Source organism: Homo sapiens, chromosome 7, assembly GCF_000001405.40.
Source record: "Homo sapiens chromosome 7, GRCh38.p14 Primary Assembly".
NCBI lineage: Eukaryota > Metazoa > Chordata > Mammalia > Primates > Hominidae > Homo > Homo sapiens.
The window spans coordinates 144,547,278-144,566,865 of record NC_000007.14 but is presented as its reverse complement, the minus strand read 5'-3'; the positions used below and the strand labels follow the sequence as shown (position 1 = coordinate 144,566,865).

General features: G+C 39.1%; 1 protein-coding gene across 44 annotated transcripts in view, besides 1 other annotated feature; it reads left to right on the top strand.

Annotated features, from left to right (window-relative positions):
- Positions 1–19,588, top strand: part of TPK1 (thiamin pyrophosphokinase 1) — a 384,497-nt gene that overhangs the window by 269,572 nt on the left and 95,337 nt on the right. For 43 of the 44 annotated variants that reach the window (NR_146934.1, NR_146935.1, NR_146936.2 and 40 more), the window contains one exon: positions 18,264–18,375. Coding sequence is in view for 40 of the 44 variants with exons in the window: in XM_005249970.2 (XP_005250027.1) it covers positions 18,264–18,375 (112 nt within the window). In the remaining 4 variants the exon portion in view is untranslated. Of the gene's footprint in view, positions 1–15,702; positions 16,668–18,263; positions 18,376–19,588 lie in introns of those variants that run through there. The other variant, XR_001744630.2, reaches the window with a different exon arrangement.
- Positions 735–1,296: an enhancer, noted in NCBI's record as "NANOG hESC enhancer chr7:144262663-144263224 (GRCh37/hg19 assembly coordinates)". NCBI's record gives its function as "activates a minimal SCP1, AML or CMV promoter by ChIP-STARR-seq in primed H9 embryonic stem cells {active_cell/tissue: H9 hESC(primed)}" and the evidence as "EXISTENCE:reporter gene assay evidence [ECO:0000049][PMID:30033119]".

Here is a 19,588-nt window from a genome sequence, read left to right as displayed (position 1 = left end):
TGGTCTTGAACTCCTGACCTCAAGTGATCCGCCTGCCTTGGCCTCCCAAAATTCTGGGATTACAGGCGTGAGCCACTGCGCCTGACCAGTATAGATTAATTTATAATTTATGGTAACAGGTTTGTAAGTTTGTTTATCAAGAAGTAATGGCTAGCTCTGAGCTTGTTGTCGCAACACTCTTGTACTAACGGAGGCCCATTATTTCAGGGTTCTTCTTGTTTCTAACACTGACACATAGTCTCTGTCTTTACTTACTTATTTCTTAATTTCTCAGTTATATTTTGAGCTACTCTAAGGATTGAGACTAATCATGTTCTGTTTTCTGTATTCCTAATCCTTGAATATCTTTCTAAATCCTTATTTACTTGTATTCAAACTTTTACAGTTCCATACCAAACATTCCCTTTTATAGAATATGACATTAACTTTGGGAAAAAAAGGCCAGACGCGGAGGCTCATGCCTGTAATCCTAACACTTTTGGAGGCCAAGGCGGGCGGATCACCTAAGGTCAGGAGTTCGAGACCAGCCTGGCCAGGAGTTCAAGACCAGCCTGGCCAACATGGTGAAACCGCCATCTCTATGAAAAATACAAAAATTAGCCAAGTGTGGTGGTGGGCGCCTGTAATCCCAGCTACTCTAGAGGCTGAGGCAGGAGAATCACTTGAACCCGGGACATGGAGGTTGCAGGGAGCTGAGATCGTGCCACTGTACTCCACCCTGGGGGACAGAGCCAGACTCCATCTCAAAAAAAAAAAGGAAAAATGTACTCCTCTTTTTAGAATAAACTAATAATATTGGAGAGAACAAAGCTACTAAATATATTAATACTTCATGGCAACATGAAACCATTACCTGCATGGTTACAAGTCAAATGCATGGAATGAAAGCAAAGTTTTTCATCAGTCAGTGGTTGTGACTCTTACACTAGCTTTCAACTCTTTCCTGTTAACCCTTTGTTGTAATCCCCTATTCTCTGTTTGCATATTTTTAATGCCTCCCTTTTTGCTCGTTCAAATTCCAAAGAAGAATATCTTGTGTTTACATGACAACTCTATGCTGTTGAACAGCTCAGTGGGATACTTTTGTCCCCACAGCCATTTAGGCACCTAAAGTGTTTTAGGCTCTATTATTATCAACATAGTTTCCAGAGTTAGCCAGGGTTCATGTCTATTTCACACAGTTAAAAAAAAAAAAAAAAGGAGAAATGAAGGCATGCACATGGAAGGCTGAGAAGCAGTGTGCATCGCACCTCGCATTGGCTACTACGGGCCACTGCTGGGGAGTCTAGGATGTACCCTAGCCTCCTTTGCCACGAAGCTGTATTAATATTCTCTAGCAGATACCACATTTGGCAGAGTAACTACAACTGGGGCTACTACTTGGTTGAGTTTGTAGTACTTCGTCATTCTCTCACATCTTTCTGATTTTTGTTGCTGACCAGAGTAAAGCATTAAATGAGGATGTGAGGGAGTCACTCTTTAAGAGTGACTCTGATCTCTTTCTCTCCTGGATTCCATGTTATCTTTAAATTATCTTCTTAATGAGGAGGAGAGAGAGGAGTGACAGTTTCAGATGCTTCTACCTGGCCTTCCTCACTATAGTAGCTTTTATCCCACAGGCCAAGGAACCAGTGTGGAAATTCTGCCAACTATTGAGTATGTTCATTCTAACCATATAGTCAAGCACCAGATAGTTCATGGACTGAGTGGGCTCACTGTGAGCCAGACTAGGTCACGGACTCCGTTTATTACTCTCCCTACCCCATCTACCCCCACTTTGACAGTGGGCCACAATGATGCTTCAGGTCCCTGGGTCTTAATATCAACTCAGGTTCTTATTCAGCAGTGATGGTTCATCTCCATGCAATGTATGGATGTCCTCCTTTGCCCAGTGGTTACCCCAGAGGTTCCCATGGTCACCTCAGTAAACACTTGTGGATCTCTTTAGGGAAGGACTAGGGAATCATCAGTTATATAAATGAGTGGACAGAGTCCTTCCTCCTGAGAACTCATCCTCTCTTTCAGTTTATACTGAAATATATACCATTGTTTATACTTCTGAGAACTGGCTTATGGCCAGAAATGGGGCAAAAGGTCATGAATTTATTAACTGATTTATTTTAATCCTATAAATGAAGCAATATTTCTGTTGCAATCCATTTATCTTGTCTCCTGGAACTTTGTGTCCTAGTAACCATCTCCAAAGTTTTTTGCGGTTAAGGTGCCCCTGGCTGTAACTAGTCTTGTCACTAGTTCTGATAATTGAGCCTACCCTGCTTTTGACAGTTAGTGGCCATCATCTGGTCTGTTATGGTAGGATCCTGTCATCTCAGTTGCTCTCCTGGAGCCCAGTTCTGTGTAGCATCTTCTACCATTTGCATCTTTTCTTACCAGCCTTAGTCTATAGAGGACAGCTTCCACAGGACTTCTTTTGGATGCTGGTATCCCTTTCACTAGCTCATTCCTTCTCACTTTTGTCCTCCAGCTTCTCATAGAACAGAGTTAACTGATGGACTTTGGCTTCGGGTGGCATATCTACTCTAGCGTGCTCACTTCTCTGAGCCTTTGGATCCCTTCCATCCTTCGCCATTTGCCATTGAAATTCTAGAAATTTAAATTTCATTTACAGTAAACCATCACTTCTTCCCAACTTTCCAGAGCCAACTGGAGTTTTATTACCACTGTCTACTAGAGTCCTCTGTAGGGTGGTACATTCTCTGTCATGCCAAAGTGCTTCATTATCCATAAACTAGCCCTTATCTTACCTTAGGTTTCACCCTGTTTGATCCAGCATCTTTGGGGACCAGTCCTTAGCTCTATTGGAATGTAGTCCCTTCTTCCCTCAGCAGTGCCAGCCCTTTCATGGCTGGGTTATGTTGGACCTTCACCTTTGTTATTGAACTGGTGGCCAGGAGGGGATAAGAGGGGTAAATCTGGAAGGGTGACATGTTCCCTTATAAGGCAGAGGTTCTAAATAATCTCAAGGAGAAGGGGAGTGCTAGCTGTTAACTGGAAAGAAAGAGCCACTTCTGAAATCTGTAGATTTCAGATGAATCAAGCAATGCAAAGCTTTTTTTTATGTATTTATTTATTTTTATTATACTTTAAGTTTTAGGGTACATGTGCACAATGTGCAGGTTTGTTACATATGTATACATGTGCCATGTTGTGTGCTGTACCCATTAACTCATCATTTAGCATTAGGTGTATCTCCTAATGCTATCCCTCCCCCCTCCCCCCACCCCACAACAGTCCCCGGTGTGTGACATTCCCTTTCCTGTGTCCATGTGTTCTCATTGTGTATATACCCAAAAGATTATAAATCATGCTTCTATAAAGACACATGCACACGTATGTTTATTGCGGCACTGTTCACAATAGCAAAGACTTGGAACCAACCAAAATGTTCAACAATGATAGACTGGATTAAGAAAATGTGGCACATTTACACCGTGGAATACTATGCAGCCATAAAAAATGATGAGTTCATGTCCTTTGTAGGGACATGGATGAAGCTGGAAACCATCATTCTCTGCAAAGTTTTTTGAGTTCTTGAACTCAGATTTTCCTATTCTGTTTTTCTGGGTCCTACTCCTTCCCAGTTAGTTCCCTGACCTCGATGTAGCAGACTTGGGAAAAAGAATATGCTGAGAATTCAACCTTCAAGGGAGCTCTGCTACCTATAATGAAGTCCTAGACCTAATCCTCAGCTTTTGATACCCTGCAGGAGATGGGTTCCTTTACAGACTTCCAAGGACGTTCACTGGATTTAGTGCCATTCATACCTACTCATTGGAGTTCTCTATCATGTGTGCCTTACAACAGCACATGTATAGTGCTATACAATGAACTTTCATTCATATCGCATGTTGTGACAACTGCTGCCTTTTGAATTGATGCAAGTGCTTGTTCTCATATTAAAACCATCTCAGTTATTGGCCATGACAAATATTACCTCAATTTTGAAAATTAAGGAATTGAGACACAGAGAGATTAATTTAACTGTCCAAAGTCACACAGCCAATAAGTAGCAGAATAGAACTTGTTCCCAGGTAGCCAAATGCCAGAGTCTATGCTGATTCTCACTACAATGATGCTGATTCTCTTGGTGCTGTTTGATGCCAACCAAGTATGAATTGAAACTTAAATATAGCAACTGAAATCAAATGCCAGTATTTTATGATAAAACAGACATCTGGATGAACCTTAATATGATTATATTAATTTTATTGAGATAAACAGCTAAATGAAAAAGCAGCATTTCATTATTTTTATAAAGGGTGTATTGATAACTCGTGAGTTGAAAACATGGCAGCAGATTAAAGATTCCTGTTTTTCACATTGTATGGCTTTCAGACTGTTCACCAGGTGTATAAGCACATTTCAGAAGAAATGTCCAGCTACCGTGACTGAGCTGCTAAATGCCAAATATTTTTAAATAATGTTACTAATTATTACAATAAAGAGTTCCCATGACCTACTTCTTAATTGGCCCTGCAACAATTACTGATATCTCATAGAGAAAAAAACACAAGATTTTTTCCTGTCTTACTCTATTTGTCCTTAATTTTACTTTTTTTTCTAAATTGTTAGTTGCCTATGCATCTGTGTGACTATTTTCACTTGCCGTTGTGTCATCAGCTGGTATTATAGTGAGCCAAAATTATCCACATCTTCTTAAGTATGGAACAGCTACATCGTCATAGAACTTATAGTGATGGACAGTCACTAAGTTTGCGATTGCGTTAAATTTGAATTTGGAGAACGAAAGAAGAGAGGTTATTAAAATGCCAGGGACACACAAGAGCCGGACCTTTTTTAAAAAAAAAATCTCAAAGGCAGTTTCTTATAGATGACTTTAGAAATTAAGCCCTAAAAACATCCTTGGTGCACTGGTCTTTCTAAGTACTGGCATTCAGCAATGAAAATGCAGTGCTTTTCTTGTCCATGTCTAGAGGAAAAAAGCACTATCAGTTATTTAGAATCTGATTTATACCTTAAGAGAGTGGCTGCCACTCTCTGTGATTTCAGGGAAGTCGGGTATCAAGGAGCAATTTTCAAAGAATTGAAAGCCGATGCAGGGTTATGAATAAACTCTGAGAGGTTTGACCTTCCCTGTCAAACGATAAGGCCATAAATATGTTGGTAATTCTGCTTTGTTGTGAGCACCTGTTCTTTTTCATCATTGTGGAGTTTCTAGGATACCAAAAATTGATAACTGTAAAACTAAAATATTTTATTGTATTAAAAATACTAGAAAAGTAGACAATACAGGGTAGAGAACAGTTTTTTGCATGTTCCTTTTGAAATGTGTCTGGAGTTGGACCATCCAATTTTGAAAACTTTACAAGGTCCAATCAAATTCAGTATAACAGTATGGTCATATTTTACCATTTATTTGAATGAAGACAGCATAAGTGGTTTTTGGACAGGAACGGAGATAGTTAATGTATAATATTTTTAATGCTTTTTTCCCCAGTATGCCAAATTCATTATGACATGTGGTTCATTCTTGTTCAGATGGAGGCTTTGTCAGCAATCACATACAGTACAGTGTGTTTGAGCATTTTCAGTGCTGTTAAGCGTAAAGTGTTCTGTTTTAATGATTATGTTTCCATCTTCATTAAATAACTGTTGAGGAACCTTTATTCTCTGACTTCACTATTACCTTTCTCAGACTGATAGCCCAGGAGAAAACAAAGATAAGCAGGGGAAAAAAAACAGTCCAGATAACTCCCAGAGAAGAGGAGGGAAAATTGGTCATTTTCTTTTATTTTAGAAACAAAAATAAATAAATAAAACTTCTTATTTTTTACAATTTTAAGAGACCCTTAAACTCTTTTGAACAAACACATAAAAAAACACCAAAAATGATTTTTCTGTTTTATGGTGGCCTAAAAAAGCAGAAAGAGCACAAGGAATGACAAGGAAAAAAGGCAGTGGGCATACAAAGATAAAATAGTGCAGACAAAGCCATCTGGAGAGGGACAGCAAGAGATTGAGAGTGTGTTAGTTATCCATTGCTGTGTAACAAATTGCCCGAAAACTTGGTGGCTTAACACAACAGTAAACATTTATTATCTTTCAAAGCTTCTCTGTGGGTCAGGAATTTGGTCTTAGCTGGACGTTCCAAGCTTAGGGTCTTGTATAGCTTGGTTGTCCTGGTGTCAGGCATCAGATTCCATGTGGCTGACAAGTTGGTACCAGCTGGTGGCAGCGATGGGTGTGAGGTTGGATTCCTCTCAATACGGACCTCTCTAAAGGGCTGCTTGAGTGTCCTCATGACATAAGGATTGGCTTCCCCCAGAGCAAGTAATCTTCAATAGCAAGCAAGAGGGCAGCTGTATTTTTTTTTTAATGATCTAGCTTCAGAAGTTACAATACACCCGCACTTCTGCAGTGTCCTGTTGGTCATACAGGTTAGCTTATTCGGTGCAGGGAATGCAAGGGCACAAATACCAGGAGGCAAGGTTCACTGGGCGCTGTTTTGGAGCTTGATTGCCACAGAGAAATAGGGAAGAGAGTGGTAGACAAACACAGACACACAGACCTTTATGAACAGGAGAGGGGAGAAGACTGGGTAGTTGAGTCAAGTCCAGGGTGAGGGTGATCATGTTCTCCTGAAGTGCGCTTGGTTTGTGACAAGTGTAAAGGCCGCTTAATATCAGTTGTTAATTCTAACCCAACTTGTCACATCTAGTATGCTTAATTGTACTCTCATTACAATAATCTTTCTAGCATCAAAATGGAAAGCTTAGTTGTATTAAGGCATATTTTTCTCAGAAATATTACCACAATTTTACCTTAAAGGATAAAAATCTATATATTTCCCTTCCAACACACACACACACACACACACACACACACACACCCCAGTATCAGTGCTTTTACATTTCTCATGTCAAAGTATCTGATATAGAAGAGGTATCAAAATAAGACCACTATAACAATGAAGATTGTAATCTACATAACTTGAAAGGAGTGTTTATTCTGACATTTTTGCCCAAACACAGTAGGTTGTAGGTTATGAAGTACTTCTCAAGTTGCTTTCAGAAGACAACTGTATCCCAACATTCAAGATCCCCAAAATGAGAGGCAGGTACACTGACTTTCTAAAAGTAAAAGTAATTAATTGTGTTACCTGTGATTTAATCCGTTTGTTTTCTAAACATAATGATAGCAGATGTTTTTGGAGCATTTACTCTTTGGCAGGCACTATTCTAAGGGCTTTGCATTTCAAGCCATTAAGTTCCCAAAGCAACGTTTTTATTCTGGTTTTGTAGTTAAAGAAAATGAAACTTAGACATGATAGAAAGGGATTGAAATCCATGAAGTCTTTCTCTAGCACCTACAATACTCTGTCTGTCTGTCTGTCTGTCTGTCTGTCTTTCTGTCTGTCTGTCTATCCATCCATCCGTCTGAGACAGAGTCTTGCTCTGTCACCCAGGCTGGAGTGCAGTGGCATGATCTCGACTCACTGCAACCTCCGTCTCCTGGGTTCAAGTGATTCTCCTGTCTCAGCCTCCCAAGTAGCTGGAATTACAGGCACCCGCCACCATGCCTGGCTAATTTTTGTATTTTTAGTAGAGACAATGTTTCGCCATGTTGACCAGGCTGGTCCCGAACTCCTGACCTCAGGTGATCCACCCGCCTTGGCCTCCCAAAGTGCTGGGATTACAGGCATGAGCCACCGTGCCTGGCTTACAGTACTCTTAATGGTCACGCTGCATGCAGGGTAGATTAACCCAGGCAAGTTCAAAAGAAGGATTCACTAACAATGACAGTGATTTCCTCAGACTCCATGGACAGAATCTATAGTATCCCCAGACTTCTCAAGAGTTAGAAAAAGAAAATGGAATGCTTTCTGAAACCTGGGAGTGTTTCTCTTGAGGGAAGGGGTCAGCCTGGAGGTAGGTGGGTCTGATTTACTTTTTAAAGGGATCATTTTCAACTGCTGGTTTGGGAACAGACTCTAGTGAGGCAAGAGGAGACCTTATTATGGCAAAGTGCACAGGGTGGTAATGAATGAGACTGTGAGATGTGATAGGAAGTGATAGGAATTCTGAAACTATTTAGAATAGGGTCAATAAGATTTCTTTATGGGTTAGATGTGGGGTATGGGAAAAGAAGAAATCCTTTGGCCTAAGCAGTTGGAAAGATGGAGTAGCTCTCAACTGAGATCAAAAGCTGTGAATGGGGTGGGTTTGAGGTAAAAGGTCAAGATATGTAAAATAGGCAATTGGACATGCAAAAGCAGAGTTTGGGAGAGAAGTCTGAGCTAGAGATCCAAATTTGGGATTCCACAACATCTAGATGATTGAGATCACAAAGAGTGTGAATATGGGCATATGAGGGAGGAGGATCTTGCTGAGAGTAAGGAGTTTAGACCCTCCATCATTGAGAGTTTGAAAAGAAGGGGAGGAGCCAGTGAAAGACACATGGGTTAAGAGGAAAATCAAAAGAGTGTGGTATTCTGGAAGCAAAGTAAAGATAATTTATCAAAAAGAGAGAATGATAACCCATTGCAAACACTGCTGATAGGTCAACTCAAATGAAAACTAATAGTTGACCATTGAATTTAGCAACTTGGAGGTCATTGGATTTCTCAGTGAAAGCCAGTTTGGAAGAGTGATGGGGGCAAAAGCTTATTTGGTATGACTCTAAGACAGTATTAGGTCGTTCTTGCACCACTATAAAGAAATCCCTGAGACTGGGTAATTTATAAAAGAAGAGGTTTAATTGGCTCTAGGTTCTGCAGGCTATACAGGAAGCATAGCAGCATCTGTTTCTGGGGAGGCCTCAGGAAGCTTCCAATCATGGCAGAAGGTGAAGGGGGAGCAGGTGCATTACACAGCAAAAGCAGAAGCAAGAGAGTGGGGGGCGGTGCCACACACTTTTAAATGACTAGATCTCACAAGAACTCACTCTCACAAGAATAGCATCAAGGAGATGGTGCTAAACCATTCATGAGAAATCGACCCTCATGATCCAGTCACCTCCCACCAGGCCCCACATCCAATGTTGGAGATTACAATTCAACACGAGATTTGGGCAGGGACAAATATGAAAACTATATCAAAGACAGAATAGAGGAGAAGAACTGGAGACAGTGAATTTAGACAGTGCTTTCTAGGAATCTTAATGTAAATGGGAACAAATAAATGGGGTAGTAAGGTGGTAGATGGCAGATGAAGAAGGTCAAGAGTTGTTATATGGAAACTACTAAGCTTAGTGTTTTCCTTTTCATAATATTTATTGTACTCCTACTGTGTACGTAATACTCCCAGCTCCTCAGGAGGCTGAGGCAGGAGGATCACTTGAGCCCAGGGGTTTGAGGCCAGCCTGATCAACGTAGCCAGAACCCATCTCAAAATTAAAAAAAAAAAAAATCAATAAGATCTGCTTCTCTCCTTGAGGCATTTATCTTCTGGTAAGGGAATTAGACTTGAAATAGTGTGTGTGGAGAGCAGAAGGTATGCAAGTAGCCCAGATTACAAGTTCAACAAAGGATTCTGAGAAGGATAGTGGATTCGGTGGCATCTGAACTGAGTGTTGGGACTTGTACCATCTGAATATTAAGCCTACCTGCTTTTCATTAATATTTTCTAAGATTGGGGGAGAGGAGAAGCAAAATTGTCCTGTTTGTTCTTGCTTTATGATACTGGATTTTTTTTAAAAAAATGACTATTGTATCTCAGTTTTCTTGTTCATAGCCCAGTTATTGATTTTGCTTTAACCATTCTTTGTGAACTTCTGGAAAACCCAATAGACATGTTTTGAAAACATGAATAAGTGTTTCACACAGACTTATCTGCATCCTCCGCATATTCAGTCACCAACACAGAACAGCGAAATGAATGGAGACATAACATAGTAAATAAAGAGAATGGGACATTCTATTGAAGATACATGGATGAGGTCAAAGAAGATAGGCATTCACTGACTTATTCATTCATGTACTGTATGAGTATTTATTATTTAGGATAAACTTTAGGCAAGGTCATGCAGAAGCTTCACTTGGAAAGTGAATATAGGGAACAAAAAGGAAGAATGGGGAAAAAGCAAGCAATGAGATAAATGGGCCAGACTGGTTTTTAAAGTTAGAGCCTAGAAATACATGATGACATAGTAAAAACAAGTGGGCTTTAAAATCACAGCATACTTGGGTTGAGATATCACACCTACTGTTACTAGTTGAGTTATCCTGAATGAGTTCATGACTGCCCTGAGTCTACAATCTTTATTTTAGCAGTAATTCTACCACACAAGGTTGTTACGAGAATTATAGTGCCCAGCAGAATATTTGCACCAAGCAAATACTCAAAAATTGTTTCCTCACTGCTATGGTCTGAATGTTTGTGTCTCCCCTCCCCCGTGCAAAACTCCTATATTGAAATCCTAAACCCCAAGTTTGGAAATGGGGTCTTTAGGAGATGATTAGGTCGTGAGAATGGAACCCTTGAATGGGATGGGTACGCTTCTCAAGGAAGCCTGAGAGAGACTCCTTGCCACTTTCCCCACGTGAGGACAGACTGAGAAGGTGCCATCTGTAAACCAGCAAGCAGGTGCTAACCAGACACTGAATCTGCCAGCATATGGATCTTGGGCTTCCCAGGGTCCAGAAATTTGAGAAGTAAATTTATGTTGTTTATAAGCTACCATTTTGTGGTGTTTTATTCTAGTTGCCCAAATAAAGTAAGATACTCATTTTTCTTTTCTTTTGTTTGTGTGGTTTTTTTTTTGTTTTGTTTTGTTTTGTTTTGTTTTGTTTGAGACGAAGTCTCGCCCTTGTTCCCCAGGCTGGAGGGCAATGGCGCGATCTCGGCTCACTGCAACTTCCGCCTCCCGGGTTCAAGCAATTCTCTTGCCTCAGCCTCCCGAGTAGCTGGGATTACAGGCGCCTGCCACTAAGCCTGGCTAATTTTTTTTTTTTTTTTTTGTATTTTTAATAGAGACAGCGTTTCACCATGTTGGCCAGGCTGGTCGCGAACTCCTGATGTCAGGTGATCTGCCCGCCTCAGCCTCCCACAGTGCTGGGATTACAGGCATGAGCCACCACGCCTGGACAAGATACTCATTTTTCGCCCCGTTTTTTCTTTAACTAGATCTTTCTCATTATTTCTTCCAGGTTACAGAGTTTGATAGTCATGCTGGTTTTCAAAATAAATAAATGCAAATTTGTTGTCTTTCCCTGCACACTTTCTTCAGGAACACTAACAATATCCCATGAGCATTATTAACACGAGTGAAAAAAATCACGAGACACCCAACATTCAGTTAAGCATGCTGAACATCAGCCATACCACATTCTCAGCTAGCAGAAACGCTGCCTGGAGTTTGATAATGAATAGGATCATTCCAGTAGTTCTCCCTACGGTTGAACCATCTCCCCGCTTATCCTCCATTCTCCTGCCAGTCTTAATGACTTGTAGCTTCTGAGATAACATCAAAGCGAAGTGCATGGGGATTGATGAATAGCTCATCTGACAAAAGATGGGGGGTTCAGGTAGAAGGGAATGTTAGTGCTTACAGTAATTGTGGGAAGCTGATTGTCTATTGAAGGGGACTCTCTTTGGTAGCTCTTTTATAGTAACAAAGTTGGAGCAGTTAATAATACAGGAAGAAAGTTGAAATATGTATTGCAGTAACAGCATTCCAATCAACTCTTTTACAATTATAGAAAATGTGGGAAATACGTTAGTATATTTAGAATCTGAATGAAATATTACTTAAATTATTACTATCACTAAAAAAAAGATAACATTGAGTTATCGCAGTATTTGGCTAAATTCATGTTGAGAATTCCAAAAAATAACTTGAAGAATTTCACATTGGGTTTAGTGACCAGATATTAGGCTTCAGAAGGAGTTCTTAGAACTTTTTTTAAAATGATGAACAAAGTAAAAGAGGTATGCTCTTATTTAAAAATTCATTTACTAAAAACTAGAGCTTCTGTATGACAAATTGGAGAAATGACTCTCCTTAAGATATCTTAATGTCGGCTGGGCACCGTCGTTCATGCCTGTAATCCCAGCACTTTCAGAGGCTGAGGTGGGCAGATCACGAGGTCAGGAGTTTGAGACCAGCCTGACCAACATGGTGAAACGCCGTCTCTACTAAAAATAAAAAAATTATCCAGGCGCGGTGCTGGGCGCCTGTAACCCCAGCTACTCAGGAGGCTGGGGCAAGAGAATCGCTTGAACCCGTGGTGAGGGTGGAGGTTACAGTGAGCCAAGATCGCACCACTGCCCTCCAGCGTGGGCGACAGATCGAGACGTTGACTCAAAAAAAAAAAAAAAAAGGAAGGTATCTTAATGTTTCATGGAGGTATAGCATTAAAATGTTTTTCTTTTCCCTTCTTTCTGCTAATATTTTACGTTAGTCTTATGAGGGCTAATCACACTTATTTTTCTTTAAAAATTACTGGAGCAAAGTGGCCAGGTTTTTAAAAAAATAAAAAGCAGAAAGGAAAGAAAGTGTGGGTTCAAATTAAACCTGGAGGAGCTGATAAATGGAGAAAAGTAAATCAACATATATAATATGAGTGCTTGAAATGCTATTCTTGGCACGTTCAACGTGTTATTTCATCCTGAAAATAACTCAGGGAGGTAATATTGTAGTCCGCATTTTACAGAAACACATAAAATTACATTTTAAGTGTATTTCAAGCACTAGTGACAGGGTCTTCATGATTATTGGTGTACAGTTTACTTGTATCCAATTAAGCAAACATTATCTAGATCGGGGTGTCCAATTTTTTGGCTTCCCTGGGCCACATTGCAAGAAGAATAATTGTCTTGGGCCACACATAAAATACACTGACACTAACATAGCTGATGAGCTTTAAAAAAATAGCAAAAATATCTCACAATGTTTTAAGAAACTTTACGAATTTGTGTTGGGTGACATTCAAAGCTGTCCTGGGCTGCATTTAGCCTGTGAGCCGCGGGTTGGGCAAGCTTGATCTTATCAAAGAATAATGGGTCTGTCTCTTGAGTCCTTTCAGTTCACCTGGACCTTCCCTCATCTACTCAGATACTGCGAGAAGATTTTTCAAAGCATATTGACACCTTTTCATCAATACGTTTTCTTTAAACAATGAAACAATCAGGTATTTATTTGATACATATGTTCCTTCCACTGTGCTGTAAGTCCAATAGAAAAAAAATTAGATTCTTGTTCTTCAAAGAAAGTTTATTCTTTTTAGGGATACAACATGAAACTATTTGAGGGATGCAATACAGTACCAAAGTGCTACATTTTGTAGCATAAATAATTAAAATTGTAGCATTCAGGAGGAAGTCATCTTTGCTATTTAGAACACATAGGGAGATTTCATTAAAAAAGTAAAGCTTGCATTTTGCTTTGATGTTTCTCTGGATTGAGGATGGAGAAACAGTATAGAAGCAGACAGGAGAGCATGGGCATCCTGATCAGATGCTATGTTAAGAAAAGCATTTATCTAAAGTAATTTGAAAACTCTGAGATCACACTAACTCAAAATATATCTTTCAATGCAACCTGTCCTGTTTCTGCTGTCAGTAACGCTTACTTCTGGGATAAATATTGTCTCTAGAAGTCATCATTTAAGATGTCTATATCTTTTGAAGAGGCCAAGGTTGGGTTTTTCTCTGACTGGAATAAAAGGAAGGCATGAAGATAAGATATGATCCATTGTAAAAAAGGCATAAATGCAGAGGTGATAACAAAGCAGAGACATCAGTGTCATGTTTTATTTTGTAATATCCAATGTGAAGCGATTGATAAGGAAATTAGCCTGTCATTAGAGTTATTTACTATCTCTAAATGTAGGCATTTCATACATGTTTTTGACTTTTGAATAAACAAACTAACTTAACTACATTAAGGTTTTCTTTTGGATAACTGTTGAGTATTGTCATTAACCCTTTAATAGTACAGCTAGCTCATGTCAGAACACGTATGTGATTTCAGCCAGAGGTTATTGACTAACTTCTAAAACAAAAATCAAATGGAAGTTATTAAGTTCAAAACATATTCTTGAAATGTTCTGACTATGGAAATATTAAACCAAAATATGCTAGTTTTGGGTGTTGTGTGAAAAATATTATTCCCAATCAACATTTTCCTAAGTCGATTTCATGAAATGAAGCTTCCATGGGAAATTACGAGATGATATTTGAGCAGCAGAGGAAGGTTCTGTGGTGAAGTAAATTTTGGAAATACTTATTCAGGTAAACAGGGTTTGTGTTTACTTGTTTTTGCTGCAAGATTGCCTAGAACATCTAACATGCTGGCAAAAATCGTGGTTTCCAAGAGGTGAATTGACAAAGCGATTTTTCCAATCTGTATTTGACCCTGGGAGTAATGTTCTATGGAAAGCACTTTAGAAAATGTTCTAACATGATTTGAAATTCTAAAAGCTATCTGTAGATAACATATTAATGCTTTTTCAAAGGGAACACCCCTCAATTTAATATATATACATGCAACATTAATTTGATACAGGCTATTTCAAATGAACCCAATACACTTTTATTTTGAATTCCACATTTGTGGAACAGAATCAAAGAAAATATATAAGACTTCCAACTCTGAGGTTTTACAACTACAAGTTCACTGGGGAGACCCTTTATCTTGTGACTACTTTCAGCTATGTGAGCAGTCACAGTATGAAAATATACCAGCACAAAACTCTGTTGTGTAGGAGAAGTAACCTTTTTTCCTGCTAAATATAATGTAGATACTTCTGTCTACTTCTTTTACTCTTCTTTCCTGCAGGCTATTTAATTTCCTGCAGTGTTTGTTGATAAATTTTTAAAGTACCTGGACCAGCTAACAAAAAATGAGCTACCAGAGACTGGCCTTGTGTTTAATCCGTCTACAGCAATATTTCATTCATACAGGGTCTAACCGTGTGCCACTAATTGTGGCTGCCATTAGCCTCAGAGTGTAGGTTCAGCATTAACAACAACTTGATGAATGCATGGCCACTTTATAAACTAGCATTGGCAGCTTCTCCTTGAATTGTTTACACTAAATCTAATGTGTTTATGTTCTTTTTCTGTTCAGTGCTTTCTGAATGATCTTGTTAATTGGCTGTATATTTTGCGATATCCACACTGAAATATCTTAGCACAAAACTTGGCATAGTTATTGGATTTAAGGATGTTGGTATGTAAACAGAATTTAGATATCTCTCTGATATTTTTCTTTCTTTTTTTTTTTTTTTTTTTTTTGTAGAGACATGGTTTCACTATGTTGTCTGGGCTTGTCTCCAACTCCTAGGTTCAAGTGATCCTTCCACCTCAGCCTCCTAAATTGCTGGGATTACAGACATGAGCCACCATGCCCTGTCAATGTTTGGTATTTTTCAAAGGCAAAATCTAGAGTCAGCTTTAATCTTTTCTCTCAGTTATGTCATTGTCCTTTGGAAAGTGGAGTTATAATACAAAACAAAGGGACAGCGATTTCTCACCCCTTCATATTTGTGTGTATTTTGTTCTACCCTGACATGACAGTCTAGGGAAATTAATACTGTTACGCTGTTTGTCTTTCACATGATCGTAGGTATGCTTTCCAGCACACATACCAAGCAACATCTGTGTTACCTTTCCCTAAATTACAATTTCATATTATTAAGGTTGTTAGATGTGTTGCAATAACCACAATTGGAAAAGCAACCTGACTGTGATTGATTTTTGTTCTTTCTTTACTATATAGGGCTGGCTTTGACTTCAAAGAGTTATCTTAGTTCGGAAAAGAGGCCAGAGCAGGAACCTGTGAAATGATTCATGGGAGAAGATGGAAGTAAATGATGAGTTCATGTGCCTCTAGTCTCCAGTAATGGCATAAATCCATAGGGAAGTTCTTTAATGTCAGCGTGTATGCCTGCCTGTGTCAAGTCACATATAGGCTAGCACATATTATGAATTAAGAAATCTGGGGAATGAACAAAAATTCCTTTATACAGTTGTTCATTTTCAAAAGATGTCATATAGACTTGAAGATACAGGAGGAAAATATTGCTCTCATTTAACCATAAAAACTGTATTTGCATTTTTATAAACACAAAGACCATTCACATATGGCTAAGCACCTTTTTGGAACAAGAGAAAACATGGTTAATTGATTGTGGGCTAAGGCCTATCTGTGACTTCTCAAGTCCACAAACGAGTTTATTCCCAGACTGAAAATTTTAAGGCCTGCTGATTCTTTAAAATAATGAGGAAGGCAATGAATATATAGCATGCTTACTACTATGTCATTTAAATCATTGGATTTTATAACAGCCCTCCTCTCCCTGGGAGAATAAAACTTAGCATGTATATGTGCTGTTTCCTTTGCATTATACGATACAAGTTGAAGAATACTCTCTTAGGGAGTTAATATCACAAATTGAAAAACACTTCCTTCTTTCCTTCGCCATTCTTAACAGAAGTCACCTAGGAGCACCAAACATGCTAACGTATTCAGCTAGGCACTGCCAAACCATTAAGCCGGCCACAGACAGAGGAAAGAAAATCATCAATTAAGAGACAAGAACTAACTGTAACACACTGAAAATAAGATAGCTCAAGAACACAGGAATTCCTCTTTGATAAGTGATGGAGAAGTCGCACTCTAACAACAGGTCTCATTGTCAGAAACACCGTTATCAGATGCAGAAGTACAGAGATCTGGACAAGGTGTACCTTCCTTTCCTTGTTCCACTGGTGCTCTCTTGAGCCCTCCACTCTCTGCCCCCAAAATGTCCAGAATGCTACAGGTTACCTATAACCCCTCTGAAATTGCTGTGTTTTCTGATGGGAACCCTAAGAGTACTGCCCTTCAACAGGAAACTGGGTGGCGATCCACCTACATGATAAGTCGTCACCAATTCCTGTTCCTTATCTGCTGAAGCTAATGTAATGCTAAGGAAATCCGAATTTCTAAAACATCTGTCTCATCAACTCCTTTTTTTTTTTTGAGATGGAGCATCGCTCTGTCGCCCAGGCTGGAGTGCAATGGCACAATCTCGGCTCACTGCAACCTCTGCCTCCCGGGTTCAAGCAATTCTTCTGCCACAGCCTCCCGAGTAGCTTGGATTACAGGCACCCACCACCATACCCAGCTAATTTTTTTTTTTTTTTTAGAGACAGGGTTTCACCATGTTGGCCAGGCTGGTCTTGAACTCCTGACCTCAGGTGATCTGCCCGCCTCAGCCTTCCAAAATGCTGAGATTACAGGCGTGAGCCACTGCACCTGGCCTCATCAACTCCTTCTATTAGAAAGAAGGTTTTGATACCTCTTTGAGCACTTGTTTTAAAAGTGTGCTATGTTTGGCATCTAGGGATGGTCATTTGTATTATGTTTAGTATATCTGTCTTCAGAGAGAATTATTTATATAATGGAGAATGGTAGGAAGAAACAAATCTCAAATTTGTGTGGCAAGCTATTCAATATAAATCAACTTGGGGCGGGGAGGAATTCTATACAAAAGGAATAAAGGCAGCTCTTACCTAAAAGAAAATAAAAACTTTTTTAGGAAAACAAACAAGCAAACAAACAAAAAACGCAAGGCCAGGTGTCGTGGCTCATGCCTGCAATCCCAGCACTTTGGGAGGCTGAGGTGGGTGGATCACTTGAGGTCAGGAGTTCGAGACCAGCCTGGCCAATGTGGTGAAACCCCATCTCTACTAAAAATATAAAATTAGCTGGGTGTGGTGGTGCCCGCCTGTAGTCCTAGCTACTCAGGAGGCAGGAGAATTGCTTGAACCCTGGCGGCAGAGGTTGCAGTGAGCCAAGATTGCAACATTGCACTCCAGCCTCGGCAACAGAGTGAGACTCCATCTTAAAAAAGAAAAAAAAAAAAAAAGCAGAATACATTGTAATGGCTGCTGAGAAGCAGCTGTCTTTGTGTGTTTCTCTTTGTGTGGTACCTTTCATTTAGGATAGGTTTCAAACCCACAGTCCTATTGCTGTGAGTTTGGTCTCTGGAATTGGCAGGTGTAGGTAGGAATCCCTTATCTGTGTGGTCCTATGTTAATCTCTGCAAGCTTCAATTTTCTCATAGTTGAAACATAATTAACAATAAGATATCAGATACTTTGTAAAATTATTGTAAGGATTAAGTCGGGTGAAGGTTCCTAGGATTATTCAGCACATATTGCAAACATTTTTTTGTGAGGATTAAGTATGATAAGCCGTGTGAGGGTTGTAGACGCATCCTGCCCAGGTCTTCAGTGCACATTAACATTCCTTCTCTCTTCCCCTTCTTAATGATCATTTCTTGTCTCCTTCAGGGAAAGCACAGGTTGCATGTAGACACTGGAATGGAGGGTGATTGGTGTGGCCTTATTCCTGTTGGACAGCCTTGTATGCAGGTTACAACCACAGGCCTCAAGTGGAACCTCAGTAAGTAGAACCTTTTCATAAAGGAATGATTTTTTTTTTTCTTTTTTTCTCTGTTTCTTTCTTTCTTGCTTTCTTTCTTTTTTTTTAATGTCTCTGTGGTCTATACCTAGGAGGAATTGCTGGGTCATATGATAACTCTATGTTTAACCTATTGAGGAACTGCCAGATTACCTTCCAGTGTACCTGAACCATTTTACATTTCTATGTGCAGTGTAAGAGTGTTCCAGTTTCCCCACATTCTCAACACTTGTTATTATCTGTTTTCTGGCTTATAGTTATCCTAGAGCATGTGAAGGTGGCATCTTATGGGGGTTTGATTTGCATTTCTCTGATGACTAATTATGTCGAGCATCTTTTCTTGTACTTATGGAACATTCATATATCTTCATTGGAGAAATGTCTATTCAGCTCTTTTACCCATATTTTAATTGGCTATTTTTACATTGAGTTGTAAGAGTCCTTTATGTATTTTAGATACAAGTCCTTTACCCAGGTGTGTGACTTGCAAAAATTTTTTAGCCCTTAGCATATATTTTCATTTTCTGAAATTTAATTAACTAAATTAACAAATGTTAATTAAGTCTATGTTTTTTCTTTTATGGATCATATTTTTGATGTCATACCAAAGAACTCTTTGCCCCACCGTCTTCACGATTTTGTATATTTGAAAAACCTACTTTACTTTGCTAGAGAAGCAGCAAATTATTTTCGTAGTCAAATCTTTAACATAAGATTTGCTGCTCTTATTAAATTTTAAAATGTTTTCCAGTAATTGTGAACTGTATTAGGTCCTACTAGTACTAAAACTATCTGAGTTAAAAATATTAAAAAGTAAGGGGGTCCTGTTCATGAGATAAATGCTGATTCCAAAAGGAACCATCAGTCGTTGTGAAATGAATCAACTCTAGCCTTTCTAAGGATAGTAATAATTTAATCAAAGAGTTGTGATTGAATGTCAAAGGGATCATCTCCTAATTGACCAATACGGCAAAGCTGTACAAGTAAAATATGGAACTGTATCGTTCTTTTCTAACAAGTAAAGCACTTAGATTCCCACAAGAAAATAAATTTTTTTCCAAGAAATAAATATTTTGAAACAAAAAGACCTGTAAAAAGACCTTTCTATGAGCCACTGCAGAAACAATTAGGAAAAACTAGAGATATTTTGAAACAAATGTTTAGAGAGCTCATCAGAATTTGAAAGGACTGTGAG